Source organism: Homo sapiens, chromosome 12 (genome assembly GCF_000001405.40).
Source record: "Homo sapiens chromosome 12, GRCh38.p14 Primary Assembly".
Taxonomy (NCBI): Eukaryota; Metazoa; Chordata; class Mammalia; order Primates; family Hominidae; genus Homo; species Homo sapiens.
This window is the reverse complement of record NC_000012.12, coordinates 110,490,835-110,505,350: the sequence shown is the minus strand read 5'-3', so window position 1 is coordinate 110,505,350 and position 14,516 is coordinate 110,490,835. Positions and strand designations below refer to the sequence as shown.

General features: G+C 41.1%; 2 protein-coding genes, 1 long non-coding RNA gene and 1 other non-coding gene across 27 annotated transcripts in view, besides 2 other annotated features; 2 read left to right on the top strand and 2 right to left on the bottom strand.

Annotated features, from left to right (window-relative positions):
- RAD9B (RAD9 checkpoint clamp component B) overlaps positions 1 to 3,020 on the bottom strand; it is a 31,226-nt gene extending 28,206 nt beyond the window's left edge. For 6 of the 17 annotated variants that reach the window (NM_001286535.2, NM_152442.4, NM_001368052.1 and 3 more), the window contains exons 1-2: positions 2,968 to 3,020; positions 1,475 to 1,545 (exon numbers count right to left, since the gene is read on the bottom strand). In NM_001286535.2, the coding sequence (NP_001273464.1) occupies positions 1,475 to 1,545; positions 2,968 to 3,013 (117 nt within the window). In that variant the 5' untranslated portion in view covers positions 3,014 to 3,020. Of the gene's footprint in view, positions 1 to 1,474; positions 1,546 to 2,519; positions 2,886 to 2,911 lie in introns of those variants that run through there. The other 11 variants (NM_001286531.2, NM_001368055.1, NM_001368056.1 and 8 more) reach the window with 6 other exon arrangements.
- VPS29 (VPS29 retromer complex component) lies at positions 3,240 to 14,268 on the top strand. 8 transcript variants are annotated; one of them, NR_104099.2, is made up of 6 exons: positions 3,240 to 3,302; positions 5,805 to 5,816; positions 6,492 to 6,531; positions 9,148 to 9,339; positions 12,120 to 12,355; positions 13,229 to 14,268. NR_104099.2 is itself a non-coding variant. In NM_001282150.2 (6 exons), the coding sequence occupies exons 2-6, from the start codon at positions 3,848 to 3,850 to the stop codon at positions 13,344 to 13,346; spliced, it is 645 nt and encodes a 214-aa protein (NP_001269079.1). In that variant the 5' UTR covers positions 3,240 to 3,302; positions 3,792 to 3,847; the 3' UTR covers positions 13,347 to 14,268. The 8 variants fall into 8 exon arrangements, 4 of the variants coding, with proteins under 4 accessions (NP_001269079.1, NP_476528.1, NP_057310.1 ...); NM_001282150.2 differs by lacking the exon at positions 6,492 to 6,531 and adding an exon at positions 3,792 to 3,934; NR_104100.2 differs by lacking the exon at positions 5,805 to 5,816.
- Positions 3,272 to 3,411: an enhancer, noted in NCBI's record as "active region_7006". NCBI's record gives its function as "activates an Ori minimal core promoter by ATAC-STARR-seq in GM12878 lymphoblastoid cells {active_cell/tissue: GM12878}" and the evidence as "EXISTENCE:reporter gene assay evidence [ECO:0000049][PMID:35858748]".
- Positions 5,526 to 9,148, bottom strand: LOC124903015 (uncharacterized). The gene is made up of 2 exons (XR_007063458.1): positions 8,474 to 9,148; positions 5,526 to 6,610 (listed from the first exon to the last, which is right to left on the bottom strand). It is a non-coding gene; the product is annotated as an uncharacterized LOC124903015 (long non-coding RNA).
- Positions 5,933 to 6,227: a silencer, noted in NCBI's record as "tiled region #4252; K562 Repressive DNase matched - State 5:Enh". NCBI's record gives its function as "represses a minimal TATA promoter and a strong SV40 promoter by Sharpr-MPRA in K562 cells {active_cell/tissue: K562}" and the evidence as "EXISTENCE:reporter gene assay evidence [ECO:0000049][PMID:27701403]".
- On the top strand, positions 8,930 to 8,999 carry LOC124903099 (small nucleolar RNA SNORD50). The gene has a single exon (XR_007063627.1). It is a non-coding gene; the product is annotated as a small nucleolar RNA SNORD50 (small nucleolar RNA).
- Positions 14,269 to 14,516: the final 248 nt, after the last annotated feature.

The following is a 14,516-nucleotide window of genomic DNA, read 5'->3' as shown; positions in this document are numbered from 1 at the left end:
TGGGATGTTAATTATGGACTGCCCTATATAGTCTGTATTGAATTTGCATATATATACATATATGTACACCTATAATATATACAGGACATAACCTGTATTCTATACTTGATAGTTTAAATGGCATTCAGGACAAGTCTGTTAATTTATTATACACCTATATATATACATACATATAGGTGTACATACATGTATATATACAAGCATGTACGTATATATAGGTGTATACATATATGTATATTATATTGAATACATATATGTGTTAAATCTAAAAGTTTACATGTTGAAAACATAAAATAGTAAATGCCTACAGGGGCCTTAACTTTCTTTTAATTTCTTTTTTACTTTTTTTCAAAAAACCAGCCTGTTGGCCAGGCTGGAGTGCAATGGTACCACCGCAGCTCACTGCAGCCTCCAAACCCCTGGCCTCAACCAATCCTCCCTCCTCTCAGCCTTCCAAGTAGCTGGGACTACAGGCACACAACATATCACCCGACTAATTTTTAAAATTTTTTTGTAGAGACAGGTAGTGTCTTGCTTTGTTGCTCAGGCTGGTCTCGAACTCCTGGGCTCAAGTGATCCTCCTGTCTCAGCCTCCCAAAGTGCTGGGATTACATTTGTGAACTACCACACCCAGTCATGAGCCTTAACCTTAATGTGTGAAATGGCAAAAGGCAATATATAAGGGAGTTGCAATATATAAGGGAGTTACAGCATATTGGCGGTCTCACACCTTGTCTAAGCGGGGAAACCATTACTCAGTTTCAGCCAACTACTTCCACTTGGGAATGAATGCAGTCCCAAAACTGTCAGGTCTTCTGAATTTTCAAGAGAAGCAGGAAAAATTTGACTCAATTTTTTTTTTTTTTTTTTTTGGGACGGAGTCTCACTCTCACTCTGTTGCCCAGGCTGGAGTGCAGTGGCACCATGTCGGCTCACTCACTGCAACCTCCATCTGCTGGATTCAAGCAATTCTCCCACCTCAGCCTCCCGAGTAGCTGGGATTACAGGTGCCCACCACCATGCCAGGCTAATTTTTATATTTTTAGTAGAGAAGGAGTTTCACCATGTGGACCAGGCTAGTCTCGAACTCCTGACCTCAGGTGATCCACCCACCTCGGCCTCCCAAAGTGCTGGGATTACAGGCGTGAGCCATCGCGCCCGGCCTCAATTTTTAAATGTTGGAAATTATTTCAAATTAAAAAAAAAAAAAAACAGTGCAGGCCAACAAACATTCCTGCAGACCGTAGCTAGTCTCTTAACTACCAGTTTGTGACTTCCAGTTTAAATCAATCAAGCTTATCTGCATATTTTCAACTTTACCATGCTCTAAGTGTATTCAGATATGTAAAATAAAGATAAACAGTGAAAGGGATAATTACAATTTCTGGATTTCCTAGTTAACATTCAATCTGGACTGGGATCTTTAAACATCTCCTCTTGCCTTGATACGTGATCTGTTAACTTTCTTACTTACACCTTTTTTAGATGGGTCTAGCCAGAACTCGTCACTAATTCGTGATAGAGCTTGAACTGCTTTCCCAAATACTATGGAGAAAAAGAAAGGTGATGCTTATATTCTTTCCCTCTAACAATAAAAACAAATCACAAGACTAGTTCAGCATTCAGAGGACTCAAGAGAAATTCAAAAATAACAGTATCTTACAGACTAATGCTACATTACTTTAATACAGTATAATACCCTTGGCAAAATGCCAGACACATAGTCAGGGCTCAATAAATTTGTAGTGTGTGAAATGATAAAATTGACCGAAATTTGTCCTTCTATATGTTTACAGTGTTGCATGGAGCTACTGTGCAAACCAATTTCCATACTAATGTATTTTACAACTTGATTTAGATAAATGTATTTGACCCCCCAAAAACTGTGAAAACAGTGCATGGAGAAGATAATCTGAAGTGGTTTTAATAGCTTGATAGCCAAGTCACAACAAGTCATGAGAGAGAAATTAGGGGTATCCAACATACATCTCTGATGTTTGAGGGCAGCCAGATTTCCCCACCACAGAACACATTTAGGGCTGGAAAACACACTAGTCTGATCCCGTACGACATTGTTAATGTTCTTTTTATTTTTTATTTTTTTTGAGACAGAGTCTCACTCTGACACTCAGGCTGGAGTGCAGTGGCACGAGCTCAACTCACTGCAGCCTCAACCTCCCGGGCTCAATCGATCCTCTCGCCTCAGCCTTCCAAGTAGCTTGGGATTACAGGCGCCCACCACTAAGCCCGGCTAATTTTTGTATGTTTAGTAGAGACGGGGTTTCATCATGTTGGTCAGGGTGGTCTCGAACTCCCGACCTAAGGTGATCCACCCGCCTTGGCCTCCCAAAGTGCTAGGATTACAGGCGTGAGCCACTGCACCCGGCCTAACTTCCATTTTGAAAGCGCCGTTTACAACACTAATAGTTCTTGTACATTCCATCTATTACTGGGCTCTTTACACGCATTTCCATTTCATTGCCTCCAAACAAACTCTGTGACGAAGGTGCTGTCATTACCCCTGTTTCCGTTTTAGAAACTGAGCCCCAAAGAGATTTAGTGACTTTTCCAAGTTCATACATTTTTAAAAATGGTAGAATCTGGGGAAAAAAAAAACCAGGTTAATGCTGTTCTCTTGGCACAAAAATACTTTTACTGTCCAAGCATTATTTTTTTCTCTCAACTCTTCCCCATGCAGTCCTCAGCATCCCGAGTTTGTGGCCCGATGGTACAACTCTATTTCCCGGATACCACCCATATTACATCTGCCTCTAAGTCACACGAGATGGGTCCTCATCCTCCCCTCAGAAGTTAACAGGGACTTGAGTGGGTGGGGCTGTGGCCAGGGCGTGCGTCCTCAGTCATTGCGCAAAAAGGCAAAGAGGAAAAATTAGACAATGGTAGGGACGACCTATTAACGTCTGCTTTTCTCTCTGCTAAATGGGAAGACAACAAAGGCCGCTCCACCTTTCACCTGACTGCCGCTCATCACGCACTTCAGCATGGCTGCCATCCGCCCTAAAAAGCAGGCTCGGAAGGCGCGCCTCAGCTCGACGGCCCAGGTGCCCGGATGTTGCCCGCGCTTTTCAAAGCTTCGCGATCTCGTCTCTGCACTCTACCACCCCGCCTCCACAAGTTCCCAAACGGCTTTACGGCGGAGAAGGGTCCGTGCGGGCCTCCGTACGGCAATTTCTGTCTCCCTCTGCTCTCATTGGTTGCGGTTAAGTGGGCGGGTCGCCGAGGAGCCTGAGGAAGAGGGCGGCGACGGTGGTGGTGACTGAGCGGAGCCCGGTGACAGGATGGTGAGGGCTGCAGTTGCGGCGACCAAGGCCTGGCTCTCGGGTGGGGTGCTGCGTTGTTGGGAGCCGTGGGGAGGCCGAGGGCGAGGAATTGGGAAATCCCGGAGGCCTCGGCGTCAGGGCCCAGGCGCTGGCCTGGGAAAGGCCCAGAAGAGGTCTAGGGAAGGAAGGGAGCGGCCACCTCTGGGTGCGGCTGGCCTAGGTCTCGTATCCCGGCCCCAAGGGGCCAGAGGCCATCCAAGGGGTAAAAAGGCCCCTCTAGCAGCCCGACCTGTCACGAGACACGCACGCCCGAGCCAGGGAAGGCCTTTGGTCCTATACCTCGAATGTTCCGGGGATAGGGGCACGGTCCTCCGTTTCCAGACGGTTCCTACTCGTTTCCCGCAAAAAGCACCTCCCGCTGGTTGGGGTGTAGTGGTGGAAGCTGGCCTCTCGAATGCAGAACAGGAAGTAGCGAGCAGAATTTCGTACCCGTTTAACTTTGCCATCTAGGGAAAGGGAATAAACCACCCTCCTCGCTCCTGAAATAACATCTAGCTGCCATTGAGATGAGCAGGTGTGCTCTCAGAGGGCGGGATTTGGCGCTTGCAATTGCTGGAACTGTTTCTTTCCACGGGTTGCTACGCCTCTTTAGGGTAGGATTCCTTAATGATGTGTGAACTCATTGAAACTGTTGGGAAATTTTTGTGAATATACACATTTTTCTGGGGAGAGTGCCGGTGTTGGAGACTTACCTAGTCTCCCCCAGCCACCTTCAAGCAATCACCCCTTCACCCCCAGTAGTTTGGTGCCCCTCAGACCTTCCTACATAAAAACTGGGGGCCTCTACTAGAGAGGACTCAGAGCTGTAATCATATTTTCTTTCTTTCTTTTTGAGATGGAGTCTCGCTCTGTCGCCCAGGCTGGAGTGCAATGCCGCGATCTCGGCTCACTGCAATGCCGCCCGGGTTCAAGCCTCAGCTCCTGCCTCAGCCTCCCGAGTAGCTGGGATTACAGGCGCCCGCCACCAAGCCCGTCTAAATTTTTGTATTTTTAGTAGAGACGGGGTTTCACCATGTTGGTCAGGCTGGTCTCTACCTCCCGACCTCAGATGATCCACCCGCCTCGGCCTCCCAAAGTGCTGGGGTTACAGGCGTGAGCCACCGCGCCCGGCCTGTAATCATATTTTCAAAGGTGCCTTTGACTCTTAAAAAGTCAATTGTTTGGGGCAACCCACTCGGGTCCCCTTCCACCCTGTGTAAGCTTTGTTCTTTCGCTCTTCACAATAAATCTTGCTGCTGCTCAAAAAAAAAAAAAAAATCAATTGTTTGAAATGGAGCTGTGATTATCTTCATATTTGTGTTGATGGAGGTTGGCTGTAAAGGGACGTCTACCTCTGACAGGCATTTATTGCATTCTTTTTTATTTTTACAAGGAAACCAAAGAAGCTATGCATTTTTAAGATTATTACTATTGCATGACAAACAGCCTTTTCAAGAGGGGGACTTACAGACATGGCAGCCAGAGATTTATGGTGCATGCTTCTTTAAAATCTTTAATCTCACTTTTAATTTTTGCTTCTAAACAGACTCCAATTTAAAGTAATCCGTTTACAGTAATTTCGAGACACCTATCCATGGGAGAAGACATAATTACTTGCCATGGTTTCAAAATATTAATGTTTCTCAAGTTGTTTGAGAAGTGATCCCTCTTATTTAGGGTAGTTGTACTGGAACATCATTTTTCATATGAAATAGAACTGGGAAAAATTTAGCATTAGCCAGTTCTTTCATGATTAAAAGCATTTTATTTGGCAAAGGATACAGACGTTCAACACTCAGTACAGTGTCCAGAGTCTGTGGGCAGCAAATTCAAGTGTGGGAAAGGTCCAGTTTTACCTGAATAAATGTGTTTGTTTTTATTATTTTGTCTTCACCTTTAGTTGATTTGTTCAACACTTGATAATGTATTCATGGTGCTGTGTTGCATCAGCTACAAAAAATCACCTAGCCGCAGCATAATTTTCCAGCTACTAGAATTTTGAATGTAAGATAATTAACATCCATATACTTGAATAATTAAACCCTAAGAATCCAGAAAATGTTAGCCTTTCAGCTATTACTGATGATAAATTTTCCACAGTGTCTTGTAGAAATCCAAATTCATTATTTTATAAAATCTTATAAAAATCTAAACAGAATGGAAAACAGAGATGGAAGTCGATGTACAGAACAAGATTAGGAAAAGTAGGAGAAACTGACAAGACAAATTTATTAAAAAGTGTGTGTGTCATGTTCAAAAATAAAGCAAATATTTATTTTGGTATTGTTTTGAGCACAGCTGATTTTTAACATTTTCTTTCATAACACTCAGAAATCATTAACAATTGTTTGCTCATTTGGTATGGGTTTTTTGTTCTCTTTTTTTTTTTTGGTTTCTTTTTGTTGCTTTCTTTTAACATTGGTCATGTTTCACCCTTTTTTTTTCATCCCCCCTGTCTGCAATCAACTTCTTCATTCCACTAAGGCTGGGCACAGAGTAAGTTTCTTCACTTAGCTCCTACTAACAGTGGTGGTTGGGTGGCTGTTTACTGACTGGATTTCTTACCCTTTTAAGGTCTGTTGAAAGGAAGTAACCGAATTCCCATGCTTTGATTGGGTTGGCTCTTTATTTTAATTTAATAAGACTGCCATTTCCAGGATCTTTTGCTTTCTTAAAGGACTCTATCATCTATGTCTATCCCGATTTGTCAAAGTGTGGAATTTGGGCGGGAACATGTTTCAAAGTATGACACGTGTTATGTAACACTATTTCCCCATAACTTTGTCATCAGCAGGAAACCAGAGGATTCTGTCCTAGTAAGGATCCCTACTAATTTGAAATGATTGTGTGGTCATTCATACAGTTATATCTTTAGACTGCTAATAGTCTTGAGTCTTGGAGATAATCCACAGTACTTTATAGAATTAGGTCATCAATCATTATAAAGTACCATGTCTTACTAATGTTCTTTCTGGTACATTCAGATTGAACAGCTCATTCATTATTAGTACCAAACATTTCAACCTGTTGTAGACATATACCCTTTTATGAGTTTGGGGTGGTGGTTGTTGTTGTTGTTCTTCTTCTTCTTTTAAATATAGAAATCTATTATTTTTACCTTTTTCTCAAAGCAAGATTCCCATACTAACTATGTACTTCAATCCATATCAGAAGGAATCCCCCTCTAAAATGAAGATTGTTCTATATCCAGGTACTTTTATGTTGATTACCAGTGAGGGTGGAAACTTCATAGTGGTTTTTAGTTTTACAGATGTTTTGTCCACTGAGATCTGCATTGAAACAATTAATATAGGTCATACAACAAATACCTGCTGAAACTAGTCTTTATAAAGAAGAATCTTACTTAACAATTTTAAAGTGTGCTAATTTCATAACCTTGTGTTACTTTGAGATTACAAACTATGTCCCGATAACTCTGTGTCCTGGTAACGGTTCCTTTTCTTTGCAATAATTTTAATTTTTGTTGCAAGATAAATCAAGCTTCTTTTGGTAATCATTTTAATTTCATACATTTTGTTTGTTTGATTAATTTTCATTTACAAAGTCTGCAGTGGCAAAACTATTTTGTTTTATCCTATTAGCTATTTAATGGTTTCTTTGATAATATTAAAGAATAGTCATGCCTTTAAAAGCAGTTAAAGGGCATGTACATTTATGCATGCAATATCTGTAAAGGAAAACATTTTGTATAGAATGAAGGTGCTTATACTGATCAACATGAAGAAACTGATTCTGTTGGGCTGGGCGCAGTGGCTCACGCCTATAATCCTAGCAGTTTGGGAGGCCAGGGCAGGTGGGTCACCTGAGGTCAGATGTTGGAGACCAGCCTGGCCAACACGGTGAAACCCTGTCTCTACTAAAAATACAAAAATTAGCTGGGTGTAGTGGAGAGCGCTTGTAATCCCAGCTACTCGGGAGGCTGAGGCAGGAGAACTGCATGAACCTGGGAGGCAGAGGTTGCAGTGAGCCAAGATTGCACCATTGCACTCCAGCCTGGGCGACGAGAGCAAAATTCCATCTCAAAAAAAAAAAAAAAAAATCGATTCTGTTGTCCTTTGGAGGATAGATACTATTTTTTTGTTTGTTTGTTTTGAGACAGAGTCTCACTCTGCTGCCCAGGCTGGAGTGCCAGTGGCATCCAGTGCCAGTGCCAGTGCCATCTCAGCTCACTGCAACCTCCGCCTCCTGAGTTCAAGCAATTCTCCTGCCTCAACCTCCCAAGTTGGCTGGGATTACAGGCGCCTGCCACCGTGCCCAGCTAACTTTTGTATTTTTCTTTTTAGTAAAGACAGTGTTTTACCATGTTGGCCAGGCTGGTCTCGAACTCCTGACCTCAAGTATTCTGCCCACCTCGGCCTCCCAAAGTGCTGGGATTACAGGTGTGAGCCACCGCACTCAGCCAGACAGATACTATTTTTAAATGATCTTTCTAACAGTATTCTGTTAAATGGCTAAATTAATGTTGTTTCTCAAATCTTGAAATTTTTAAATTAGGCCAGGCGTGGTGACTCATGCCTGTAATCCTAGCACTTTGGGAGGCGGAGGCAGGTGGATCACCTGAGGTCAGGAGTTCCAGACCAGCCTGGCCAACATGGTGAAACCCTATCTTTACTAAAAATACAAAAATTAGCTGGGCATGGTGGCACACGCCTGTAGTCCCAGCTACTCGGGAAGCTGAGGCAGGAGAATCATTTGAACCCAGGAGGCGGAGGTTGCAGTGAGCCGAGATCGCACCACTGCACTCCAGCCTGGGCGACAGAGTGAGACTCCGTCTCAAAAAAAAAAAAAAAAAAAAAAAAAAAGAAAGAAATTTTTAAATTAAAATTTTACAGGATTGGGGTTTATATTCTTTTATATTTAAAAGCAAAATTTACTTTTGTCATCTGAGACTATGTTGCAGCTCTAAACCACCTTATGCTAAATTTATCACTTATTTAGCTGATCTCTTTTTTGTTTTAATGCTCTAATATACATGAAAGATTGTGAAAATGTTTTCTTTTTTTTAAGTTGGGGAACTATACCGAGGATATATGAGCAATTTAATCCAGACCATAAAAATATGACAGTGAGGACTTCTAATAATGAAGGAAAGTGAAGATATCAAAGATTATAATTCAAAAGCACACATTTACCTGATGAAACTGAAGGCTGTTGTATATCTCTGTAACGTACACCTAATAGTTTGAAGTAACAAAAATATCAAATTTTGGCTATTATGCTTGCACATAGTTGTCAGTCTAGTACAGATAAATTACATAATTAACTTTTTTGTCTATTAACAATTTCCTTAAATATTTCTGGGATTAATATATCATTTCATGTTACAACTGCAGAAATATGAATTACCATATCAGTCTTTAAAAATGCCAAATTCTATAGGGCCCAGTAGTATACTTTACATTTTGTAATTTTTAAAATTCAGTGTATTTACAGGTCTCTAAATGAATCACTTTAGAATGCTTGATTTCACTCTTGGTAAATAGAATGATTACCTGTATTTTATATATGCAACTGTTTACAACCAAAATAAGATTGATTTAGAACAAAGTACATTACCATAAGTATGTCTGTTTAAATTGTCATGATACAATCAATGATGAAACCTATCCCAAAGCTGATGACCTGAAGAAAAATACGTACAGATTCAGCTTCTGAGATTAAATAAATAGTCATGATAGGAACCCTATGAATAATTTCTGGGATTCGGGATCTCTTATGAGACTTAAAAGGGGGCTTACAAGAGGAGACTATTTTGTTTTGATATTGTGTTTAACATTATGCTTTATCTCACCTTGACACTTTAAAGTTGGTGTTGGTATTAGGAGATCTGCACATCCCACACCGGTGCAACAGTTTGCCAGCTAAATTCAAAAAACTCCTGGTGCCAGGAAAAATTCAGCACATTCTCTGCACAGGAAACCTTTGCACCAAAGAGAGTTATGACTATCTCAAGACTCTGGCTGGTGATGTTCATATTGTGAGAGGAGACTTCGATGAGGTGATGTATTTCCCTTTCCCTTCTCAAATATCTCCCTTTCTTGATTATTACTTACATAAGCTTTATCTTTAGACCAGGGTTTCTCAACTGGTAAGGTTTTTTTTTTTTTCCCTTTTTCTTTTCCAAATGTAAAATTACTATACATCATGCCCCTCCCTTACTATTTGAAAATCACTGATTTAGATCACCTAGTAAACATTAAATACTTATTCTAACTAAATAGATACTGAATAAAAGTGGCTTTGTTACTGTTTTATGCTGTCGTTTAATTTATAAAGTTTTTTTTGTTTGTTTTTGTTTTTTTTGAGATGGAGTCTTGCTCTGTCGCCCAGGCTGGAATGCAGTGGCACGATCTTGGCTCCCTGAAACCTCTGCCTCTCAGGTTCAACCGATTCTCCTGCCTAACCTCCCAAGTAGCTGAGACTACAGGCACACACCATCACATCCAGCTATTTTTTTTTTTAGTAGAGATGGCGTTTTGCCGTGTTGGCAAGGCTGGTCTCGAACTCGTGACCTCAGGTGATCCTCCCGCCTCAGCCTCCTAAAGTGCTGGGATTACAGGCATGAGCCACCACACTCAGCCAAGTTTATAAAGTTTTTATTATGAACTTTTCACCGCCGCTACCTCTACTAACTTTATTCCAAGCCACTGTATCATTTTCTTGTATTCCAACTTCCTAATTCTACCCTTGCTCCTTCCAGTTTATTCTCCAACTAGCAACCAGCGTGATCCTTTTTAAGTAAAGTAAGATCACATCACTTCTCTGCTGGCAACCCTCCTGTGGCTTCCTTTCTCAAAGGCTGACTTTATAGGGCATGAGGGAGTTTTGAAGGAGTGATAGAGCTGCTCTGTATCTTTAGTGTGGCAGTGCTTACACAGCCGTGTGCATTTGTCAAAACCCATCATATTATACATGAAAAAGTAAGATTTTACTTTGTGTAAATTACGCCTCAATAAACCTGACTTTAAAGAAAAAAAGTAAAGAGTTCTGGGCCGGGTACGGTGGCTCACGCCTGTAATCCCAGCACTTTGGGAGGCCTAGGTGGGTGGATCATGAGGTCAAGAGATCAAGACCATCCTGGCTGATACGGTGAAACCCCATCTCTACTAAAAATACAAAAAAATTAGCCAGGTGTGGTGCTGGGCGCCTGTCGTCCCAGCTACTTGGGAGGCTGAGGCAGGAGAATGGTGTGAACCTGGGAGGCGGAGCTAGCAGTGAGCTGAGATTGTGCCACTGCACTCCAGCCTGGGCGACAGAGTGAAACTCTATCTCAAAAAGAAAAAGTAAGGAGTTCTGGAGTTCCCATTAGTTAATAATGGGATTTTTGGCAGATCACTTCCCCTTTCTGATCCTTAGTAAATATGACTGGAATGGATGATTTTTAAAACCCCTGCCAGTGCCAACATTGTATGGTGTAGCATAATAAACCTGATTCTAGTTTGAAAATTTTATTTTAGGCCGGGTGCGGTGGCTCACGCCTGTAATCCCAGCACTTTGGGAGGCCGAGGCAGGTGGATCACGAGGTCAGGAGATCGAGACCATCCTGGCTAACACGGTGAACCCCTGTCTCCACTAAAAATACAAAAAAAATTAGCTGGGCATGGTGGTGGGCGCCTGTAGTCCCAGCTACTCGGGAAGCTGAGGCAGGAGAATGGCGTGAACCTGGGAGGCAGAGTTTGCAGTGAGCCGAGATCGCGCCACTGCACTCCATCCTGGGCGACAGAGTGAGACTCTGTCTCAAAAAAAAAAAAAAAAAAATTTATACATATAGTATTTCTGGGAATATAAGATTTTCATCAATTAATCTTGGTTTGTGTTATTTAATGGGGTTCCTTAAACCAAACTGAAGGGGCATACTGTCTTTTTATTGTATTTTAAAAAGAGTTTGGATAAATTTAAAGGTGGCATGGAGGTGAAAGACGGGGAGATGAAAGGACAAACAACCTCTTTGCCTGTTTCATCATCCATAAAGTGGGGATCATAATAGAACCTTCTAGGATTGTTTGTATTAATTAAGTTGATATTTGTAAAACCCCTACAGTAGTGCCTGGCTCATACTAAGTACTATGTAAGTGTTAGCTCTCATTATTTTAAGCTATCTATAAAAGTATTAAGGCTACATTAAGCTATAATTTGAACACACCCTAACTTACATGCCTTAGGTAAAGGAAAATCACAAGTTTGGGGGGAATAATTATTTACAGCATGCGCAAAAGAACCCATATTCTATAGGAATAAACACAATAAAGGGGTTGCATGATAAATTCCAGTTTATATTGAGTAAGTTATGTTTTAAAATATAGATGCAGCCTTGGAGACCAAGAAGAAATAAAATATTTATAAATGTGGGGTGGGCACAGTGGCTCAGGCCTGTAATCCTAGCGCTTTGGGAGGCCAAGGCAGGTGGATCATTTGAGGTTAGGAGTTTGAAACCAGCCTGGCCAACATGGTGAGACTCCGTCTCTACTAAAAATACAAAAAAATTAGGCGGGCGTGGTGGCGGGTGCCTGTAATCCCAGCTACTTGGGAGGCTGAGACAGGAGAATTGCTTGAACCTGGCAGGCGGAGGTTACAGTGAGCCAAGATGGTACCACTGCACTCCAGCCTGGGCAACATAGCAACACTCTGTCTCAAAAAAAAAAAAAAATGTATAAATGTGTGTGTTGTGGGGTACTACATCAAAACATCCATAGGAGATTGAATATTTAAGGAAACTGATTTTTTTAAACATCAGTATCTCTAAAATACATATTTTCTTACGTCTTTTTCTTATGTTAGAATCTGAATTATCCAGAACAGAAAGTTGTGACTGTTGGACAGTTCAAAATTGGTCTGATCCATGGACATCAAGTTATTCCATGGGGAGATATGGCCAGCTTAGCCCTGTTGCAGAGGCAATTTGATGTGGACATTCTTATCTCGGGACACACACACAAATTTGAAGCATTTGAGCATGAAAATAAATTCTACATTAATCCAGGTTCTGCCACTGGGGCATATAATGCCTTGGAAACGTGAGTAGTATAGAATTTGGGAATTTGGGGGCTTTAGTAAAATAATTGCATGTGTGACATTTCGTAAAAGAAATGTGGCTGGGCACAGTGGCTCATGCCTGTAATACCAGCACTTCGGGAGACCAGGGCAGGTTGCTTGAGCCCAGGAGTTTGAGACCAGCCTAGACAATATGGTGAGACCCTGTCTCTACAAAAAAATTTTAAAAATTAGCTGGGTGTGGTGGTGCATGCCTGTGATCCCAGCTACACAGGAGGCTGAGGTGGGATGATCACTTGAGCCTAGGAGGTTGAGACTGCAGTGAGCCACGTTTGAGGCTCTGTACTCCAGCCAGGGTGACAGAAGGAGACTCAATAAATAAATAAATAAATAAATAAATAAATAAATAAATAAATAAAATAAAAATAAATGTGACTTTTTTTTTTTTTGAGACAGAGTCTTGCTCTGTCACCTAGGCTGGAGTGTAGTGTTGCAATCTTGGCTCACTGCAACCTCTGTCTCCCGGGTTCAAGTGATTCTTGTGCCTCAGTCTCCCAAGTAGCCGGGATTATAGGTACCCGCCACCACGCCTGGCTAATTCTTGTATTTTTAGTAGAGATGGGGTTTCACCATGTTAGCCAGGCTGGTATTGAACTCCTGACCTCAGGTGATCCACCCACCTCAGCCTCCCAAAGTGCTGGGATTACAGGCGTAAGCCACTGTGCCCAGCCACATGTGACCATTTAAATAAATCTAGCCATTTTGGCAATCTTTTGGTAACTGTTCATGTGATATGTAACAGATTTCTCTGAATCCAAATAGTCATCTTAAATTGAAATTTATAGTGCTGCTGCTTTGTGCTACAAAACACTGACATTATTTATTTTTTCTTCTAGAAACATTATTCCATCATTTGTGTTGATGGATATCCAGGCTTCTACAGTGGTCACCTATGTGTATCAGCTAATTGGAGATGATGTGAAAGTAGAACGAATCGAATACAAAAAACCTTAAAGCCAGGCCTGTCTTGATGATTTTTGGTTTTTTTTCATTGTCCTGTTGAAATCAAGTAATTAAACATTTAAGAGCCACAAAATTGTATCACTTTTATAATATTTTGCAGTAAAATATAATACCATCTTCTCTGTTAATACATAATTGCTCCAAGCTTCCTGTAAACTATAAGAATATATTTAGTTTACAGTATATGGATTCTATGAAAAAATGTCCACAACACAGTAATTGGTCACTTGTTAAGAAAAATTTATCCTTGTAAGTATCTTCAAAGTTGATATTTGGAACTTTATTCCAAAAGTAGTGCATGTGGAGAAAGAATCTAGACTTTCTTGTATACATTTTTCTCTTCTCCAGTAATAAACAATTACCTTTCATTTATACTTTGATAACCTGTATTTAATTTAAAAAAAAACATAAAAATGAGGAACCAAGTGAAACTACGGATATAAATATTAAAGTGGACGAGATGACCTTTCAGAGCTCTTCTCTTACATTGTGTCATAATGTTGGACTCAGATTTTATTTGCTAAATAATATACCATGCCGACATTAACAGTGATTCTTCAAACTGTTGCTATTTCCATTTTTCAAGGTTTAATAAAAGTTTTAAAAATACAAGTTTAGGGGCCGGGCACAGTGGCTCACACCCTAATCCCAACACTTTGGGAGGCTGAGGCAGGTGGATCACCTGAGGTCAGGAGTTCAAGACCAGCCTGGCCAACATGGTGAAACCCTGTCTGTACTAAAAATACAAAATTAGCCAGCATGGTGCTACATGCCTGTATTCCCAGCTACTCGGGAGGCTGAGGCAGTAGAATCACTTGAATCCTGGAGTTGGAGGTTGCAGTGAGCCGAGATCACACCATTGCACTCCAGCCTGGTCAACAAGAGCATAACTCCGTCTCAAAAAAAAACAAAACAAAACAAAAAAAAAACAAATTTAGCAAGGAAGCATACTAGAGTAATATATAACGTAAAGAATCCTCTTGTTAGTGTAACTACTCCCAACCTAATCTAGTCCGAGAGTCCCAAGTTATTTATGTGGTAATTTCATAAGATAGGGAAAATGTGTATTTACATTTTAAAGTTGTATTCAAATAGCAAATATTTATTGATCACCTACTTTGCAAGTCAGAGCATCATCTCTGTCAAATGCTATTCTGTATC

Coding starts and splice junctions, on each gene's coding strand:
- VPS29 (NM_001282150.2), top strand. CDS start 3,848: ATGAGCAGGTGTGCTCTCAGAGGGCGGGATTTGGCGCTTGCAATTGCT. Junction 9,340..12,119: donor TGAGAGGAGACTTCGATGAG/GTGATGTATTTC, acceptor TTCTTATGTTAG/AATCTGAATTATCCAGAACA. Junction 12,356..13,228: donor GCATATAATGCCTTGGAAAC/GTGAGTAGTATA, acceptor TTTTTCTTCTAG/AAACATTATTCCATCATTTG.